This window comes from Homo sapiens, chromosome 5 (genome assembly GCF_000001405.40).
Source record: "Homo sapiens chromosome 5, GRCh38.p14 Primary Assembly".
NCBI classification, from domain to species: Eukaryota; Metazoa; Chordata; class Mammalia; order Primates; family Hominidae; genus Homo; species Homo sapiens.
This window is the reverse complement of record NC_000005.10, coordinates 139,667,732-139,686,162: the sequence shown is the minus strand read 5'-3', so window position 1 is coordinate 139,686,162 and position 18,431 is coordinate 139,667,732. Positions and strand designations below refer to the sequence as shown.

Below are 18,431 nucleotides of genomic sequence, written 5' to 3'. Positions count from 1 at the left end.
TCACCCAGGTCAGGGTACAGGGTACCTGGAGGAAAGGCTCCTGGGTCACCAGGAAGTCAGTTTCCCAACTGTAGCAGAGGAGAGGTGAGGGCACCTGAGGGGAGGGGAGCTGGGTACACAACCCTGCCAGGGAGCCTGCCTCTAAGGAAGTCTCCGTCAGCTGGGGAACAGCAGGGGTGAGCCTGCAACAGACAGAGTACAAGATACAGAGATGGAGAGACAGGAGGGGCAGAGACCCAGAGACACGGAGAGGCTTAGAGATCAGGAAAGATGGAGACCCAAAGACACAGGAGCGTCAGGGACCGAAAGAGACCTTCAGGACATGCAGAGAGTGAGCCAGAGAGACAGAAAGCTGGTGCAGGCTGGGGTCGGGCTGCATCCAGGTAGGGGAAGGGCCAGAGGCTGGGTCACTCTACGGAGGTGGGAAGTGGGAGGTGGGAGGTGGGGGTGGCCAGGGCTTCAGGGAGGACACACAGCCAGGCAGAAGGTGAGGGACATCTTGGTGAGATTTAGGTGAATAATAGTTTAAAAATAGCAACACCAGCTGCCATTGACAGAGCTTGCAAGTCAGGCCCTTCCCAAGTGTGATCGCATTTCATCCTCAGGCAACTTTATGGGGGAAACAATTATTGTCCCGTTTCCCAGATGAGGTAACTGAGTCCTCAGCATGTTTTCAGCCAGCCTCACAGCTGTCCCCACCCCTGGCCTCCAAACAGAGGGGCTGGCTTACCATTTCCACAAAGCAGTGTGAAGCTGGAACAGGTGAGGAGCTCTGAGTTTCGGCCGTGTGCTGGGGAGTGGGCTCAGGAGACACGCTGGGCTGTGGGTTGGCACACTGAAAGGTACAGGCCGGCTGAGTCACAGCACCCCCTCTGGGCTGGCAACAGAGCCGTCCACCCCACACCTGTAGGTGTGCCAACGAGGGCCGGCTGAGGCCATCTGCAGCCTGTGTGCTGCCAGCAGCGGGCGGAGGCAGGAAGGGGCCTCCTGCCCGGTGCCCCCTGCTGGCCAGGCTCCCCCCACTCCCCACAGGAGGACCCTCCCCACCCTCCTCGAGGTTCTGGAGGTGCCGCTGTTTGCCTTGTGCTGGGGGTGAGGGTGCCCCCCAGCTGCAACACCTCCCCCTACTCCCTGCTGGACACCCCCCTTCGGCAGAGCCGCCTGGAGAGATCACAGGCAGCCACATGAAAGGGAATTTTTCCCAGGCAGAGCTGAAGTTGAAAGCTGCCTCCCACCGCCCCTGCCTGCCCCCGCTGTGCCAGGCCAGGCTGCTGAGGCCCTGGCGCTCGAAGGGAGCTTGTGACACCTGGGAAGGGGTTGGGGGTCAGCGCCACCCCCACCCAACATGGCTGCTTTCTCCTCTCAGGACAATGGCAGAGATAGCCCATCTCCCCCACCTCACTGCCCACTCAGCCTCAGAAATCGCTCCAGCTCTCACCCACCTGAAGCCAGTGCCCAACACTGTCAGGAAGTCCTTCCTGAAGTCTAGCCTCCATCTCAGCCAGGCTCAAAGCAGCTGGGTGAGAAGAACGCTCCCCCAGTGGATGGCTAAGCCTCCTCCTTCAGGTTGGCCTCTGTGATGTACAGGGAGGGGCATGCCACTGCCACCCCTTCCTGTTCAGGCTGCCCTGGCCCAGACCATGTGGCTGTGTGGTGACTTCCCCAGACATTTGACCTCTGAGGTCCCCAGCAGCCTTGTACCAACAAACCCTCTGAGAGTGGGGACAGTCAAAGCCAAGGACACCCCCGTAACTCAGCCTAGCAGCCCTCAGGCCTAAAGAGGAATAGGCGTGTGTGTACAGCCAGGTCCCCACGAAGCCGAGCTGAAACTATTCCCTGGAGAATGACATTGGTGGCTGCGGGAGCACTAGATCCCTGCCAGGTAAGAAAGAAAGAAAGAAGACCCTGAACAGGCAGCTCAGCCTTACCCCCACCTGCCTCGTGGTGCTGGTTGCTTTACTCATCAGGCCCTGATGAACTTAGGTGAGTGAACAGAGGTGGCCCCAAGTGAGTGAAGGTCCCTGGAGGTCCAGGTTCTGAGGCATGGGGTGCAACCAGGCAGTGACTTCCAGATTAAGAGCCTTTCCCTCCTGTCTGCTGGGCTGGTTGCTCCTGCTCTCCCCCATTCTGGATCCAGAGGCCTCTCTTCCCCAAGAAATTCCCATTCTAAATGTCCCTGGGCCATCCTTCTTCCTCCTCCAGGTGGTCCCAGACAATCCCTGCTCAGGAACGGCCCCCAAGTCAGCCCCCCAAAACCGGAGAGCAAGAAGCCAGCGGTGCTTCGTGACACAAACATGCATTCGTTTTATTCACAAAACAGCCTGGTTTCCTAAAACAATACAAACAGCATGTTCATCAGCAGGAAGCTGGCCGTGGGCAGGGGGGCCCAGGCCGCAGGGGGCCCCCTGGGGACCCACCCCCACCAGCAGGGGACCACGCAAAGAAGCCCTTTCTTCTGTTGCCATTAGCAAGGCCAGAAAAAAAGGACTTATTTTCTCTAAGAAAAGTAGCCAGGATTGGAAATATCGAGATGGGGCTCCCCAGATCGCAATGGATAAACGAACAGAACTTTCATTTTTTTTTCCAAAATCACTGTTGGGGTGGGGGATCCCAGTCTCGGGACTGTGGGTGCAGCTCAGCTGGCCTGGTGCTCCCTCCCCTTCTGTGAGCTCCCTGCTGGCAGCTCTGCACGCGTGGATGGATACAGAGCGGCTTCTACACGGCGCCATCAACATTCTCTTTATGAACGTGAGTGGATTCTCCAGGCAAACTATGCACTATTTCATGGTCGGAAAGAATCAAAGGAAGTTTAAATGAGGGTGGAGTTAAACTGTGCTAAATTACAGTAGTGCTTATTAGTAACTAGATTTCAAAAGGTTACAGAAAATTTACATTCTCTACACAAAAACTGCATCTCCTGCACAGACAACATCGACATCGACACAGGAAGGAAACTGATTGTCCATTCTTTGCCCAGGAAGTCTCGGTACTTTATAGATTCGTCTTTACCTCTTTTTTGTTGTTGTTCTTCCGAAAAAGCAGTTTAAATTTTTTTCTTTTTCTTTTTATGCTAGGGACGTGGAGATGTTAAAACGACAACAAAAAATATATATATAAAAACAGGAATGAAATCTGTGAGAGAATATTTTTGGTTCTAAAGACGGGTGCATCCGTTTGTCTTCGCCCGAATCCCTTGCTGGAGACCACACGAGCAGTGACATTGCACGGAGAGGGCAGCTTTGGGTTCCGCCGCCGTCACTGAAACCACCGGAAGGCGGCTCCCGTCGGAAGCATCACCTTCTGGCGGGGGCGGGAGACAAAAACAAGGAGAGAGTTCAGTCAGGGTCCGGGTAGGCCTGGAGCAAAGACGTTCCCCCATGGATGGCCTCATGGCGGAGGGACAGGCATGGAGGAAGAGCAGCCACCCCTCGGAGCTCCTGCCACCCCAGCCAGGCCAAAGGAGGCGCTTGACCTGCTGGGCTGCTGGAAGGCCCCGAGGACTCTGAGGCCTCCTGAGCCACTGTGCCCAGGAACCCTCCTTCCAGAGAAGAAGTCCCTTCCCCTGGCCCAAAGGCAACAGCGCCAGGTGGCTGTGGCATGTTTCTGTAAATGAGCGTGTGAGCACGTGCGACGGGTGTGCATATGGGTGTGTGCCTCGTGCTATGCTGAGCTGTGTGGTATGGAGCTGTGGGAGGTGGGTATTTGAGCTATTTCTCAAGCGGCCGTGTCTATGTGTGTGTGCATGTGTGTCTACACTGGACTAAAGTGGGTGCCTTTGTGTGTACATAGGAGAGCAGAAATGGAAGGGCTGGGGCTGGGGCTGGGGCTGGGGCTGGGGTTGGGGGAGGGTAACCAGGAGGCCATGGCTGGGATATACCACTGTTGTTTTCCAACCATTCTGGACATTTGCGTCAAGCCCACTCATAGAGGGGCGGGGACAAGGGCAGGGACTGCAGGCTGAAAAGATGCTTTTGTACCCAGGCCTGGCACTCCAGCTAGGTTGCTGCATCTGGGGGCACAGGGACGGGCCCTGCCACAGGGGTGCAGAGATAGCAGCATGGGAACCCCTTGCCTTCTCCAAGCCAATCCTACAGTGGCTAGGTTCTTGTCCACTCCGGGCTCATGGTCACCTCCCCTTACCCCAGCCCCAAAAATCTGTCAACTAGGTGCCCAGACCAAGGGTCCTTCCAGGCCTCAGAGCAGGGCACCCAGCACTGGAACAGCTCTATCCTTGGGTGGCCTTGGGGGAAAGATGGCCCTGGAGGGGCAAATGAAGGGCTTAAGGGCACAGGGCCCGTGAAACAGAATCCCTTAAACAGGGCAGGGGAGAGACCCAGAGTTCTAGGTCATGGACTGGATGCTTTAGGCCATGTCTGAGCATCAGAAACTTAGGACCTGTATGGAAATCTCAATACCTGACCCAGAACCCAGGAGAGGAATCAGAATCCCAGGGCCTGGCTGAGAATGCTAGGTCCTTGCCTGGAGTTTTATGCTTGCCTTGCAAATTATGGCCTGATAGGATTCTCAGAATGTGGCTCTGACTTTTGGGGCAGTAAACTGGTGTCTTGAAGCCAGACCCCCAGGCCCCAAGGACTGGGAGGGGGCATCCCCCAGACACTTGCCCAGGTAGGAAAAGTGGGGTCAGGGGATGGGGGTGGGTTTGGACTGCCAGACAGACACAAGAGCCCACACACCTCCCTCTAAGGCGCCGTTACCTCCAGAGCAGCGGAAGGCTTCTTTTTGAGTTCCTCACATTTTCTGAATTTGCAAATCTGATGGCCAGTCTTTCGATTCCTACAACTGCTGCACTGCTCGCAGTTGATGCGCCGCCGGCAGGGCGCGCACATGCCGCAGCGTTTCCGCTTCTTCTTGCCGGAGCTGATGGCAGAGGCCAGCTCTCCCTGCATGGGGTACTCAGCCAGGCCCGCCATGTGCAGCGCGCTCTCGGCCAGGAACACACCTGCCGGGGTCATAATGAAGAGGCCTGGGTTGATGGGGAAAGCGCCCAGGTAGGGGAAGTCGGACTGGCCATTGAGGGCTTCGGCACCTGCCACAGCCTCCATGTCAGGCAGGCCAGCACCCGCCTCGCTCATCAGCGGGAGATGCTCCTGCACCACGCGCTTCAGCATCTCTGTGGACTGCGCAAACTGCTGCAGCGTCAGCTGTCCCTCGGCTGCCAGCTCCGTGGCCCGCTCTGCCTTGCTCAGCAGGCTGGCCACAGCACCACTTTTGTGCTTTGAGGTAGGGTTGCTTTTGTCCACCGCCATGGCCGCCGCCAGGTCATGCCCATTGGCCAACAGGGAGGCAGCGGCTGCAGCCGCAGTGGCCTTGTCAGCAGACTCTCCGCCCATCATGCTGCCACCGCCACTACCACCACTGCTGCCAAAAGAAGAGTAGTGGGAGAGCGGGCGGGAGCGGCGCAGGCTCTTGTTGAGGGGCTCACTGATGATACCGCTCTTGTTCCGACGCTCGGGGGGTGGTGTGTCATCTGCCACTGAGGCTGGTGCGGCGGCAGCCACCACTGCACTCTTGTCTGCTGCTCCTGCCTTTGGGCCACTGCTGCCACTGCCACCGCTGCCATTGGTGCTGCTGCTGCTACTGCCGCCGGCATCCTGGGAGCCACCGCCGAGGCTCGACATGGTGGGGCCGAGGCCCAGACCCCACTGCAGAGGGAGCCTGCCAACTGCCGAGGGTCCACAGACCAGGACCTGGCCCTGCTGCCCACAACAGAGATGCCTGGTGGGCCTCGCTGCTCAGGGCAGGCACATGGTCAGGTGTCCAGGTGGAAATGTCTTCACTCTGTCACAAGAGGATACAGGGTCAGGGCAGCAGTGAACACCTCCCCCTTCAACATCGCCACCACCGCCACTATCAACGGTCCTGTCATCCTGACCACCATGTGCTTGACCAGGCATTTATTAAGCACCAGATCCATCCTGGTGAGAAATTTCTTATTTGTACTATCTCAGTTAAGACCCACAAGAACTCTAGAAGCAGTGGCTGGTAATCTACTTTATAGATGAGGGAAACAAGATTTAGGAGAACTACCAGTCTATGAACACACAGCCACCAAGCGGCATGGTGGAGGCCCTAGTCCAGGCCTCCACAGCCCAAATCTGCTCTGCTAGGGTCTAGGAAGACCTGCCAGAAGCAGGCAGTCCTTCTTGTGCTGGGGTGGGAGAGTGTTGGAGATGCTTATTAGCTGGGTGCAGTGGCTCACACCTGTAATCTCAGCACTTTGGGAAGCAGAGGCAGGCAGATCGCTTGAGCTCAGGAGTTTTGAGACCACCCTGGACAACATGGTGAAACTCTATCTCTGCAAAAAATACAAAAGTTAACCAGGTGTGGTGGTACATGCCTGTAGTCCTAGCTACTCAGGAGGCTGAGGTGGGAGGACTGCTTGAGCCCAGGAGGTTGAGGATGCAGTGAGTTATAATCATGCCACTGCATTCCAGCCTGGATGACAGAGTGAGATCCTGTCAAAAAAATAAAAATAAGAAAAAAACCACCTCCACATCCTAATCTTCCTTCTCCATCTGAGGAGAAGAGTGCTTGATGGTACAGATCATTAAGTCTGGAAGGCTGCCCCTGGATCCTCATCTGGGGATTACTAATACACATCAGTTATTTCAAGGCTCTGACATGTCCTGCAGGCAAAGGAACCTGGTTGCCTTTGTGTAACCCAGTTTGCCAATGAGTGCAGAACCCTTATTTCAGGGATCTTCTCCCCGCCTGCTACAGGGCGAGCAGCACAGGGCCAGAGGACCAGCCGTCCCCTGCCACAGTGAGAGGACATGCTTGTGCACACCCTGGCACACGCTTCCTTCTCAACCCCCGAACCACAATCATTATCGTCTCAGACCTCATTCTTGTCTCTACTCAGGCCTCACTGTGGTGCTCTGGCCTGGCTCCCAGATTGGGGGCGGTGGTGGGCAGAGGCCTCACAAGGCCTGCAGAGTAGGGCCTGGGTGGAGGTCTCAGTGAGAACCCAGAGAGCCGGGGTGGGCTGTTGCCAGGAGGGACCTCTGGCTGGGGCAGGCTGGCACTGAGGAGTAGGCGTGACCCTCAAGGGAATGGAGCCCAGCAGGAGCCTGTCCTCTGGCCACCTCCATATTTCCAAGGCAGCCCATCCCGGGGCAGGGCCTGCTCTACTCAGGTTTCAAGGCTAAGGCGTCTGAGCTGCCTCCTCAGCTGAAGGGACTGGGCCAGATGGAGCAAGGCGGCGGTTTCCTCATCAGTCCCGGCTCTCCAGCCTTGCTTCCCTGTCTGCCTGCTGTGGCCTAGCATGCCCCAAGAGAGGGGTGGGAGGACAGGGCCCAGCCCCAGAGCAGCTGGAGGCTCAAGGGGGAGGCGCACATCTGGCGGGCCCCATCACGCCCTGGGCTTGAGGGCAGCACACACTGGATCTTTGTCCCCAGGCAACCCCAAAACCCCCCTAGTCACAGGACTCAAGCCTGTCCCAAGAGAGCATCTAGTCCAACCCTCTGCATTTACAGAGGGGGAAACTGAGGCCCCAAGCGGGGGGGAGGGGGGGCTTCCCCAGGACTAAGGAGTGGCCAAAGAGGACCGGGTGTGGGGAAAGGAAAAGCTCTGTCTCTAGGGTGAGGCGAGTAGCCGCCATCAACAGTCAGATACTCCCTGTCCCTCCCCAGTGGGCACCAGACCACCTAGGGCTCCTTCCTAGCAGAGGGAAATGGGTGAGGAGGAAGAGCTGGGCAAGATGGCAGATTCCACCAGGACAGAGCCGGGGGGCCCTGGCAGGGAATCCAGGCTGGGTTGGGGGGCATCAGAGGTCAGAGCTGAAGCAAGAAGACCATGTGTGTCCAAGGATAGCTGTGTTCCCTCCCACCTCATAACGGCCAAGACCAGGATGGTCTTTTCAGCCCCTCTCCTCAGAGACTGGTGACCCTTTCAGGAATCAGTGACCCTGGCTAGTTGTTGGGGACCAGGGTCAGTGAGATCAGGGACAAAAACCGTCAAGTCAGCTCATCCAGCTCCTGCCCAACTAAGCTCATCTGCCCTGCCCTGGACGACAACCCCGGCAGCCCAGATACTGGGTGAGGGGAGAAGGCAGAAGGCAGGTGTCTTGTGGGCTGCAGAGATGGGGAGGGGAGCAGGCTGCGCCCCAGCCCCTGTGTGCGTCCCCCGCCTCTGCGGCCTGCTGGCTGGTGGCAGAAATCGATAGCTGCATTAACGCTGTTCCTGCTCTGCTCACCCCCTCCCTCCTCCCAGCTCCAGGATCTGGCTCTGCGTGCGGGGCGGGCAGGTCAATTAGAAGTCAGCTCCTTCCAACACAGCCGGCCTGCGCTCAGGGCTGGCGCTCTGGCTGAGTGTCTCGGCTTTTGTCTCCGTCCTGAGTCTCTCCTGGTGGGGACCAAACCTCATGTTCTGTTCCTCTCTTGGAATTTCTCTGATCTTCCACTATTCTATCCTTCTTCAGGGCCCACCCACCCCCAGCCTCTGAGGTCCTGGGACATACTGAGCTTGGGACCAGAGGATGTGATATGTCACCAAACAGGTGCTGCAGGCAGAACACTATGGTTTTTCAGCCACAGAAGTTGAAGGGAGGTGGGTACACGGAGGGACTGGCTCACAGGGACAACTCTGTTTTCAAATCCAGAGTAGACAGACATGAACATCTGGTCCTCAAGCTTGTTCCAAATCGGCCCTGATACCTGGCTCATCTTCTCCTTCAGACCTTAGGAAAAACTGATGTCCTGGTCCCAGTGGACCCCTGACCAAAAGCCCCATTTGCCCTACTCATGGAAGAGGAGGACATAGAGGGGACGTTCTCCCAGGTCCCAGTCTTCTACTCTAGGGCACACAGCCATCCCCTTCCAGGCCAGGAAGGGCCTGGCAGTGCCCAGGCAGCAGGGGAGGAGTCAGGGCTGCGTTGAAGCGGAGCGGGAATGAGCGGGAGGGAAAGCTGGCGGGCAGGCGGGCGGCGGCGGGCGCATCCATCATCGGCCCTGCCAGGAACACATCCAGCCCCCAAAAAGAAATACTGCGCCTGAGGAGGGACAACAAAGGGCTCCGTTTCATCAGCAATGCGGAGCCAGCGCCCCGCCGCCCCGCCAGCCGCGGTCAGCCCACAAAGGACCCCTTTGTCCATGCAGGAGCCGGCCAGCCGGGAGCTGGGACCAGGGGCTGACGGGCGGGGACAGAGCACGGGGGGCTGAGGGGGGACGAGTCATGGAAAGCTGGGGGGCAGAGGGGCATGCGGGGGCAGAATAGAGACAGGTGGTGGGGACAGAATCATGAGACAGAGAACTAGAGGGGAGGATCAGAGAAAAGGGGAGCTGGAGAGGAAGGGGCAGAGGGTCAAGGTTAGTGGAGACAGTGTCATGGGAAGCAGTGTCTGGGGTAACAGGGTTCAGAGACCCAGGGACCCAGGACACCTTGTCCAGGCTCAGGGACTTGAGGGTCTAAAAGACAAGGAAACAGCCCTAAGGAGGGAATCCCAGAAGGCAGCTGGGCATGCCCACAGGAGAGGGAGGCAGAGGGAAGGGTAGAGGAGAAGTGGCGAGGAGACCAGATCAGACCCACTGTGTAGCCCAAGGCCTGAGAAGAGGAGGTGGGGAGGAGATGGGGAGGAGTCTGGGGAGGAGGGCTGGGGACGAGGGTGGGGAGGACACTGGGGAGAAGGACTGAGGAGGAGATGGGGAGGAGCCTGGGGAGGAGGGCTTGGGGGGAGGTGGGGAGGAGGCTGGGGAGGAGGTGGGGAGGAGGCTGGAGAGGAGATGGGGAGGAATCTGCGGAGGAGGCCTGGGGAGGAGGGTGGGGAGGAGTCTGGGGAGGAGGGCTGGGGAGGAGGGTGGGGAGAAGGACTGGGGAGGAGGTGGGGAGGAGGGCTTGGGGGGAGGAGGCTGGGGAGGAGGGTGGGGAGGAGGGTGGCAAGAAGGACTGTGGAGGAGGTGGGGAGGAGGGTGGCAAGAAGGACTGTGGAGGAGGTGGGGAGGAGGGCTTGGGGGGAGGTGGGGAGAAGACAGGGGAGGAGGACTTGGGAGGAGGTGGGGAGGAGGCTGGGGAGGAGGACTGGGGAGTACCGAGGAGGAGGTGGGGGGTAATGGGTTCTTGGCCCCAGAGCATGGCTGCAGGGCCCAATGCCTCCTGTAGGCTCCAGCTAACTGGCTGAGCTGGAAGGAGGGAGACTCATACCTGGGGCCACCTTCCTGGCAGTGGAGGCCACCCCGTGCCTCTACCCTAAGGCTCTGGCCAGCCCCAGAAGGCACGGAGCCTGCCCCCTTCTAGCCAGCCCCCACCACCTGTGTTGCCACTCTGGTTTCCTTAACCAACGGATCCTATCAACCAGCATTTACTGAGTATCTACTGTGTCCCAGGCCCTGTGCTTTTATGCTTTACATGTCTTAGCTTCTGAATGCCTCCCCAGAACCCCGGGAGACAGAAACTATTTGCCAATTTCAGACATGAGGAAATTTAGGCTCAGAGAGGTTCAAGCTGTCAGCCTCAGGTCAAACAGCTGGTGCCTAGCAGGGGTAGAGCTTGAACCCAGAGCCCAAGTGTTAGTCACCCTGTTCTGTGGCCACTTTTGCAATTGACAGAGTGGCCCAAGGCAGGTGACCTAGGTACCCCTAAGGCTGCTCTCACTCCCCAGGATTGTTACCGTGCCTGTCACCTCTCCGTGGTTGGGGGCAAGCTGTCACAGACCCCAGGAGAGTGCCCCCACCTGGGGCACTTGGAGATGCCCAGGGCCTGGAATGCTAAGCCAGTGACATCATAATGCCAGCTGGCAGTGAGGTCACTGGAGGTGGTGGCAGTGCCCTTATTCAACCCTCAGCCCTAGAAGAGCCTCACTTCACCCCCCGCAGGGTTCAATCTTGAACTCTCGGGCCAGAAAGCACTGGGAAGGAGGGGACATCCTGGGATGACATAGTGCCATCTGCACACAGACATGTACACAGGTGGCCCACAGCTGGATGTTCTAGATATTCCTTTGCACACATCTTCCCTGCACCTACCTCGACAGCAGCCCTGTACCTTATGATACCGGAGAGACAGCAGAGCACACAGACCCAGACCCCAGCACTGCCTTCCAGGAGTGCACAGGAGCTGGGCCCACAGTCACATGAACCAGCGTGAAACAAGAGCCGGAAGGGGACACAATGAGCTATCTGAGGCCTTCCTGGAGGAAGGGACTGCTAGTTTGAGAGTTAAGGATAAGGAGAAGCAATGAGAGGGGACAAAGGCATGAAAGAGAGCCTAAGCAGGTGGGGAAGAAGATGTGAGGTGTGTCTATGAGGCTGTCAGGGTCCCAGTTGTGCAGGGCCTTGAGGCCAAGGGCAGAATTTTTATTATTATTATTATTTTAATTTTTAGTAGGGATGAGGTCTTCCTATGAGGATCAAGCAATCCTCTCACCTGGGCCTCCCAAAATGCTGGGATTATAGGCGTGAGCCACTGCGCCTGGCTGGCAGGATTTTTAAAAAACAGTTTTATCGAGGTATAGTTTACATACTATAAAATTCTGCCACATTAAAGTATACATATAATTTAATGATTTTTAGTAAATCAACAAAGTTGTGCAACCATCACCACTACCAAGGGCAGGGTTTGACCAAGGCACCATCCCCGCCATTCCTTGCTGGCTGACCAGCCTTGCAGCCATTCTGCCTGCCCAGGGAGGCTCGTGGAAGAGGCTGCGTTTCAGGACCCCCAACACTGGCCCAGCAGAGCTGCACACCCTGGCTCAATGCACCACTTTCCACGCTTCCATGCAGCACTTGACATCCCGGCCCTTGTCTCCTCCCCCCCACCTTGGTGGGCCGGTCTCCTTGGCCTGCCTCCAAGTGAGGCAAAATACGCAGACAGGCTGATGGTGGGCAAAGCAGACCACAGGCTATGGTGGTTGAACCAAGCTGGGCAATGGGGTGGAAGGGAGGGTGTCCCGTCTCTGATTTCCATGATTCAGCCTGGGGAGTTTCCAGAGGGAAAAAGAAGCCCTGCTCAAGCCCAGGGAGACTGGTCTTGGAGGCAGGGAGAAACGCAGCCCCAGGCGGAGAGCACAGGGCACACATCCAGCTATGGATGGACACACATACCCCCACACACTGGCCACTGCGAGCACCCAGAGGGTGGCCTGGGGTGAGACATGGCCTCAACCCCACTAGAGTCACCCCAAGACTGACTGCCAAGGACAGAACAAGGGACAGCATTTCTATATCCCCGACTCCACACCCCTGACCCTCTTACACCCCTCCTGCTGGGGTGGGTGCCAACCATGCCTTGGCCTGAGGACTAAAGGGTTTGAGCAAACCTGGAGTATGTAGAGCTCTGTTTTCTCTCTCTCTTTTTTTTTTTTTTTTGACAAGAGTCTTGCTCTGTCACCCAGGCTGGAGTGCGTGGCCCGATCTCAGCTCACCACAACCTCCGCCTCCCAGGTTCAAGCAATTCTCCTGCCTCAGCCTCCAGAGTGGCTGGGATTACAGGCGCACACCACCACACCTGGCTAATTTTTGTATTTTTAGTAGAGATGGAGTTTCACCATGTTGGTCAGGCTGGTCTTGAACTCCTGACCTCAGGTGATCCACCCACCTCAGCCTCCCAAAGTGCTGGGGTTACAGGCGTGAGCCACCGCACCCAGCCAGGCTCTGTTCTGTTTTACGGTGCTCCCCAAAACAGCTGGAGGAGGGGATCAGCCCATTCATGCACAGCAACACTGAGGCCCCGGGCAGGGAGTAAGCTCTGACCTGGGGCTCTAGGGACTGAGATGCCTGGGATGCCTCTGATAAAGACAGGCCCTTTCCTCAATAGGCACCTCCCTCAGGCCAGGTTCCTTTCCTGGAAGAGTCAAAGGTTCAGGAAGACCCTTCCCCATTTTTTGACCTTGGGAAAAAACTGGCCTCTGAGACAGTTTTCCCATCTGTCACCTGGGACCATAGCTAACAAGTATGGGGCTCTTCCTATGTGCCACACTGTCCATGCTTTATCTCATGTTATCCTCATACCCAATCTCTGAAGGAAGTCCTATTATTGCCCCATTTAGAGCAGGCAATTTGCTTAAGCAGGTGTAATGACGCCTTGTCTATCTGGGATCCCCTGAATCTTGTAGTAAACATTTCCCAATGTGGTGATCTCTGAGCTGACACCAATCAGAAATCAGGCCCACGTACCCCCTCAGGACCTCCCTACTGATGGGCCTCACCATGGGACAAGCCAGGGAAGGCTAGTCCAGGGATGCACGAGTCAAGAAATCAGAGATGGCGCACTGTCCTTCTGGGGCTCCTGTGTGGGGTGTGTTTGTGTGTCTGGGGTTGGGGGAGGCATATGTGCCTAGGACTGGCTAGGGAACTGGAGGCCTGAGGCCTAGGTTTGTGGCTCCACCCTGTCCCTCCCTGACTGGTGACTTTGACCAAGCTCTTTCCGCCACTAAGCCTCAGTTTCCCATTTGTAAAATGGAAAGGAATGGCTCTTGCTTCTCACCCCAAACTACTGCAGAAGTCACGATCCCAGGGCATATCATGGGGAAGGAGGTAGAGATACAGAGGGGAAAAAAAGGATTCCAGACAGCGATCCCCTCCACCCTCCAGACCTCAGGAGGAAGGCCCCAGAGGCCGAGATCAGTCACTGATATGATCTGCAGATAGGAAACTGATTTGAGAGAAGGGTTTTGAGCAGGACGCAGGGCTGAGACTGAACCGTAGAAGAGGTGAGACCTATCGTGGCAAGGAGCATCCAGTCCCTTCCACTCTTAAGTTCCCCAGAGGACATTAAAATAAACAGCAGGCCCTGGCCTGTACAGGCTCACGCCTGTAATCCCAGCACTTTGGGAAGCCGAGGCAGGTGGATCACCTGAGGTCGGGAGTTCGAGAACAGCCTGACCAACATGGAGAAACCCTGTCTTTACTAATAATACAAAAATTAGCCGAGCGTGGTGGTGCATGCCTGTAATCCCAGCTACTCGGGAGGCTGAGGCAGGAGAATTGCCTGAACCTGGGAGGCAGAGGTTGCAGTGAGCCAAGATCACGCCATTGCACTCCAGCCTGGGCAACAAGAGCAAAACTCCATCTCAAAACAATAAATAAACAAACAAACAAATAAATAAAAAAAAATAAACAGCAGGTCCTAATAATGCACACTCACTGTCCACCAGGCACTGTGCTAAGCATTTCACATGCATTTTCTCACCGGATTCTACTACAATTATTATTATCCTCATTTTACAGATGAGGCAACTGAGGCTCAGGGACATAAAGCCACCTGCCTAAGGTCACAAGGTCAGTAAGTGGCAGAGCCAGGATTTAAACCCAGGTCTGTGTGACTCCAGGGCCTGGTGCTCCAACCCTGGCTGAGGGTTCCACAGCACATGGAGGGAAGGAAGACTTCAGCTAAAGGGTGAGGTCCAGTTCAGCTCTCGGCTTGGGGAAATCCCCTAGGTTTCCCTTGGGTCCTGGAGGGTGGCTCTCAGGGCCCTGTTGCAGAGAAGTCTGCAGCTGTACCCCAAGGCCCTGGAAAAGATGGGGAAGGGGCTGCGGGTGGGCCAGACGGGGCAGGCTGGGCCAGAGCTCCGGGCATTCCGCAGCCTCCGCAGGAAGCAGAACGGGACGGAAACCGGCTCCGGCCTCCTCCCCCAGAATCCTGTGGGCAGCCCAGCCGGCCGCACAGAGGCCCTCTTTGTGCCTGCCCCAACCCGCCACCCGCGGCTGGCCCAGGGTTTTGAGTTTCCTGGGGGGTGGGGGCCCAGCCACTGCTAAGCCTCCATCTAGCTCCTCTCCCGGGGGCAGTCACAGCAGTCCACAGCTGGAGGAGGAAGAGAGGGGATGGCCAGGGCCACTCTAGAGACCCTGGGGGCCTGGAGTCTGCCCACACCCCATTCCTCCAACATTTACACACCCAAATCAGGGGCTGGAGGTGGGAGGAGGGACCCAGAGACAGAGCTGAGGTCACCCCCCAGAGTCTGCCTCTGCCAGCAGCCACCAAGCCCATCATGACACACCTGGAACCCCCCGCCCCATCCCACGCCATCCTGGCGCTCTTGGGCCTAAAGTGGTGTACACAGTGAGGTTGGGCAGGGGCCGGGCAGTCCTTGTCAAACCATTTCCCACTCTCCGAGGCTCCCTGGACACAGGGCTCAGCAAGCTGAGGCCTCAAGCTCACTTCCCAGTATTTCGGGGGACAAAAGCCCCTCGGGTGGCATAACTACCCAAGGATGCTGGGCACCTGGGAGCGGGCTCAGGGGGCTGGAGTGTGTATGGTGACGAGAGCAATGCATACAGTGTGTTTTCGCGTGTCTACCTGGGAGGTGTGCTGCACAACTGTGTGTGTGTCCAGTGGACTGTGAATGTGCCCGGTTGAGTGTGTAGTCTCAAGATGTCGCCCTCTACAGACCACAGCATTAAAGCATATATGGGGATCATGTAGCAGTGCTGGGGGAGATCTTTGACTCTGTGACCTCCCTGAGGGTAAAGTGGAGGCATGTGTGTGCGACCCAAGTCTGTGAATGTACATGGATGTCCAAGTGCACGTGTGTGCGAATAGGGTGGTTTACGTGGTGAGAGGATGTTTGTGGAGTCTTCTGGTCTGTACGTGTCAACACATCTTTGCCGCATGAATGCCAGTGTGTGTATGTCCGCATGCACTGTGAGTTGTGTCAGGAGCTCTGGGCTGTATGAGTCTGGGGCCCTACTGGGACGGGGATGGTGTAGACAGGAACTGGTGCCAGCTGCTAGGGCCCCTATGGAAACAGGAAGCTGCCCACAGGTGCACCTGGGCTGTGGTGGGGGCTGGTTCCATCCAGGTTCAGTTTGTGCCTCTGAGAAACCAACCCAGGGTTCCACTAGCTGAGAATCTGTCCCAGCTCTAAGGGGGACACCTGTCTTGTCTGCTGTTCAAGGTCCAACAGCTCTGGCCAGTGTCTACCCGCCTGCCTGGCCTGAGCGTGGAAAAAACTGGAAAACAAAAGCCCCCAGACCGCAGGCCCTCCCTGCAGAGGCGTGGGGGAGGCAGGCGAGAGGCGGGAGGCTGAGGAGGAGGGAGGGAGGTGTCGCCGCAGCCCCGGAACACAAAAATAATGAGGCGAGAGGGGCCATGGGGCCGAGCCGGCTGGTTCCGGAGTCGCTATCTGACCTTGACAGATGCCACAGCTGGGCGCCTGGAGAGGAGCCGCCGCCACAGTGCTGCAGAACCCCCCCAGCACCTCCCCCAGGCCAGGGTCGATGGAGGCTCAGGCTGGCCCCAGCCACAGGCAGCCACCCCATGAGGCGGGAGCCAGAAGACCTCGGAGCACCTCCCAGTAGGGTGGATGGGGATGGGGTTGGGGGGTCTGGAGGCAAGGGAGTGGGAGCAGGGCCACTGCAGGGCACAGGAGGCAGCAGTGGGGTCTCCTGAGGGTGCCCCCGCCCTCAGGTAAGGCTACATGTGTGAGAAGCACGCAGAGCCTGCCATTGTGTGTGTGTGTGTAGCTTGGCTGTGGGGCTGAGTGTGTGTGTAGAAGGGAAGTAAAGCGTGAGTATGGGTGTGACAAAAATTGTACTTGTGTGCCTGTGTCCTTGGGGTCACACAAGGCTGGGAAGACAGGCTAATGTCCATGAAATGAGTGTGGCCACATCACTTGGTGTGGGCACCGATCACTCCCCAAACTCATTTAAAGCCATAGCTGTCCTGGCAGGTGTGAGCCATGCTGGGTCTAGGGGTAGGGTGGGAGACAAAGAGAGCCACAAGTCTTGTCACTTGCAGATGGCGGAGGGGCGCCCCTCCGGCCCTTCCTGACCTACCCTCTCTCCCGCTATGGCGGTTGTCCCAAGCACTCAGTGATGGGCACGGGGCTGGGCACCGCCACTCTAGGGACATCAGCCAGGGGCTGGGGTGTGAGTTGCAGGAGGGGATGCAGGGCTGGAGGGGGATTAGCAATTCCGAGCACTGGCTGCATAATTAAAAAATCATTACGGCAGGCGGGCAGAGCTGAGTGTGAGCTCACGCTTAGAGCGGGCGGGGACACTGCCATGGCGCTCCCCCTCCCACTGCTTCCCCGAGGAAAAATCCCACCTGCTAATATAATTATGGAAAAACACAAGCACAGAAATTTGGTTTCAGCAAACAACGTGCCTCAGTGCCCAGGGCCTGCCTGGCCCTCAGCACAGCGAGCAGGCTGGCCACTGGCATCCAGGGCTCATGGCAGTAAGGCAGGCCCTGCTAGGTCCAGACATTACCTCCACCCCCTCAGCAACCCCCCAAGAGAGGAGACTGGGAGGGGTATACAAAGCCCAGCTCCCTAAATCCCAAATTCAGGAGAAAATGGGCTGGTGCTGATGGTTTACAAACGGGGAAACCGAGGCTAAGGACTCTACATAAGGTCACTGTGTTTGTGGCAAAGCCAAGAGGAACTGGATCCGTGCTCAGTGCAACACCTCAGGGCTCAACATCCCCTCCCGACTCCCCCTATCAGTCATCCCCCAGCCTTCTCCGCTCCGCCTGGGATAAGCATATCTCTCCCGAGACTGAAGAGAGCCTCCAAGCCAGGTACCCCGGCATGGCCCAGAGCCTACTCAGACCTGCACGCCACGATGGGGTTCAGGGATAGGGCGTCCTGGGCTCGTCTGGGTTAAGCCAGGCGAGCAGAGCTGGCTCCCGCCCCGAGAAACGCGGCCAGCTCTGGGGCACAGGCCCCAGAACGGCAGGAACAGCCGCCATCACCTCGGGCCTGGAGCGGGCAGCGGGCCTGGAGCGGGCAGTGGGCGGCGCGGGAGGTAGCCGGGCCTAATTAGTCGGCCTGGGACCCGGGCGGGCGCCGGGGCGGCAGACGCGGCCGCCAGAGCCGCGCAGGCACGTCCGCGTCCGGCTGGGAGGCGGCAGGGAGCCGGGAGGCGCCCTGAGCCGCGGCGGGACGGGCAGCCTGGGAAGGCCTGGGCCAAGGAGATTCCGCACCGAGAAGGCTGGCCTCCCCTCATTCCACGGTGCCACCAGGCGCAGCAATTAGAGGCTTTCAAAGTTTGTCCTTAATTGGTTTCATTTTTGCCTCATAAATGATTCATGGCCCCAGAGGTCTGGGAGGCGGAGGGAGTGGCAGGGGAAATTTGGGGAGGTTTTTGCCTCGGGCCAGGCCCCCTACCTGAGGTTGGGGAGGGTGCCGCAGGCCCAGCCCAGGAAGGGATGAGAGGGGCTGGGAGGCCTCGGGCAGGTGGGACCCTGCAGCAAAAATTAAAACCCAGGCCCTCTCCTTGGAGCGCTGACTAATTAGGAACTGCAACTTCTTTTCAGCACACCAGAGCTCTGCATCCAGGCCTGGAGCCACCGCAGCTGCTGGGGCCCTGGGAGCATGAATAATAATGTAATGATAACAAAATAACAGTGTCAGTAGTAATAATAAGGATGGCGAGAACAACATATGCGTGATCTCTTTCAGCCACCCCTGCTCCCCCAAACACTAAGATCTGTTTTACAGATGAAGAAACTGAAGCTCATAGGCCTGCCCTCTG

At 57.6% G+C, this 18,431-nt stretch overlaps 1 protein-coding gene and 1 long non-coding RNA gene across 16 annotated transcripts in view, besides 8 other annotated features; one reads left to right on the top strand and one right to left on the bottom strand.

The window, feature by feature from the left end:
- Positions 565-1,219: an enhancer, noted in NCBI's record as "H3K27ac-H3K4me1 hESC enhancer chr5:139064529-139065183 (GRCh37/hg19 assembly coordinates)". NCBI's record gives its function as "activates a minimal SCP1, AML or CMV promoter by ChIP-STARR-seq in primed H9 embryonic stem cells {active_cell/tissue: H9 hESC(primed)}" and the evidence as "EXISTENCE:reporter gene assay evidence [ECO:0000049][PMID:30033119]".
- CXXC5 (CXXC finger protein 5) overlaps positions 2,281-18,431 on the bottom strand; it is a 36,584-nt gene continuing 20,433 nt past the window's right edge. For 7 of the 15 annotated variants that reach the window (NM_001317201.2, NM_001317202.2, NM_016463.9 and 4 more), the window contains 2 exons: positions 4,716-5,799; positions 2,281-3,300 (listed from right to left, as the gene is read on the bottom strand). In NM_001317201.2, coding sequence (NP_001304130.1) covers positions 3,256-3,300; positions 4,716-5,639 — 969 coding nt within the window. In that variant the 5' untranslated portion in view covers positions 5,640-5,799 and the 3' untranslated portion in view covers positions 2,281-3,255. Of the gene's footprint in view, positions 3,301-4,715; positions 5,800-6,222; positions 6,317-10,624; positions 17,931-18,431 lie in introns of those variants that run through there. The other 8 variants (NM_001317199.2, NM_001317204.2, NM_001317206.2 and 5 more) reach the window with 6 other exon arrangements.
- Positions 6,667-7,389: an enhancer, noted in NCBI's record as "H3K4me1 hESC enhancer chr5:139058359-139059081 (GRCh37/hg19 assembly coordinates)". NCBI's record gives its function as "activates a minimal SCP1, AML or CMV promoter by ChIP-STARR-seq in naive H9 embryonic stem cells {active_cell/tissue: H9 hESC(naive)}" and the evidence as "EXISTENCE:reporter gene assay evidence [ECO:0000049][PMID:30033119]".
- Positions 11,400-11,953: an enhancer, noted in NCBI's record as "H3K4me1 hESC enhancer chr5:139053795-139054348 (GRCh37/hg19 assembly coordinates)". NCBI's record gives its function as "activates a minimal SCP1, AML or CMV promoter by ChIP-STARR-seq in naive H9 embryonic stem cells {active_cell/tissue: H9 hESC(naive)}" and the evidence as "EXISTENCE:reporter gene assay evidence [ECO:0000049][PMID:30033119]".
- Positions 15,610-15,689: an enhancer, noted in NCBI's record as "active region_23250". NCBI's record gives its function as "activates an Ori minimal core promoter by ATAC-STARR-seq in GM12878 lymphoblastoid cells {active_cell/tissue: GM12878}" and the evidence as "EXISTENCE:reporter gene assay evidence [ECO:0000049][PMID:35858748]".
- Positions 15,700-15,849: an enhancer, noted in NCBI's record as "active region_23249". NCBI's record gives its function as "activates an Ori minimal core promoter by ATAC-STARR-seq in GM12878 lymphoblastoid cells {active_cell/tissue: GM12878}" and the evidence as "EXISTENCE:reporter gene assay evidence [ECO:0000049][PMID:35858748]".
- Positions 17,388-18,337, top strand: LOC124901084 (uncharacterized). The gene is made up of 2 exons (XR_007058962.1): positions 17,388-17,475; positions 18,214-18,337. It is a non-coding gene; the product is annotated as an uncharacterized LOC124901084 (long non-coding RNA).
- Positions 17,680-17,939: a silencer, noted in NCBI's record as "silent region_16424". NCBI's record gives its function as "represses an Ori minimal core promoter by ATAC-STARR-seq in GM12878 lymphoblastoid cells {active_cell/tissue: GM12878}" and the evidence as "EXISTENCE:reporter gene assay evidence [ECO:0000049][PMID:35858748]".
- Positions 17,950-18,029: a silencer, noted in NCBI's record as "silent region_16423". NCBI's record gives its function as "represses an Ori minimal core promoter by ATAC-STARR-seq in GM12878 lymphoblastoid cells {active_cell/tissue: GM12878}" and the evidence as "EXISTENCE:reporter gene assay evidence [ECO:0000049][PMID:35858748]".
- Positions 18,320-18,369: an enhancer, noted in NCBI's record as "active region_23248". NCBI's record gives its function as "activates an Ori minimal core promoter by ATAC-STARR-seq in GM12878 lymphoblastoid cells {active_cell/tissue: GM12878}" and the evidence as "EXISTENCE:reporter gene assay evidence [ECO:0000049][PMID:35858748]".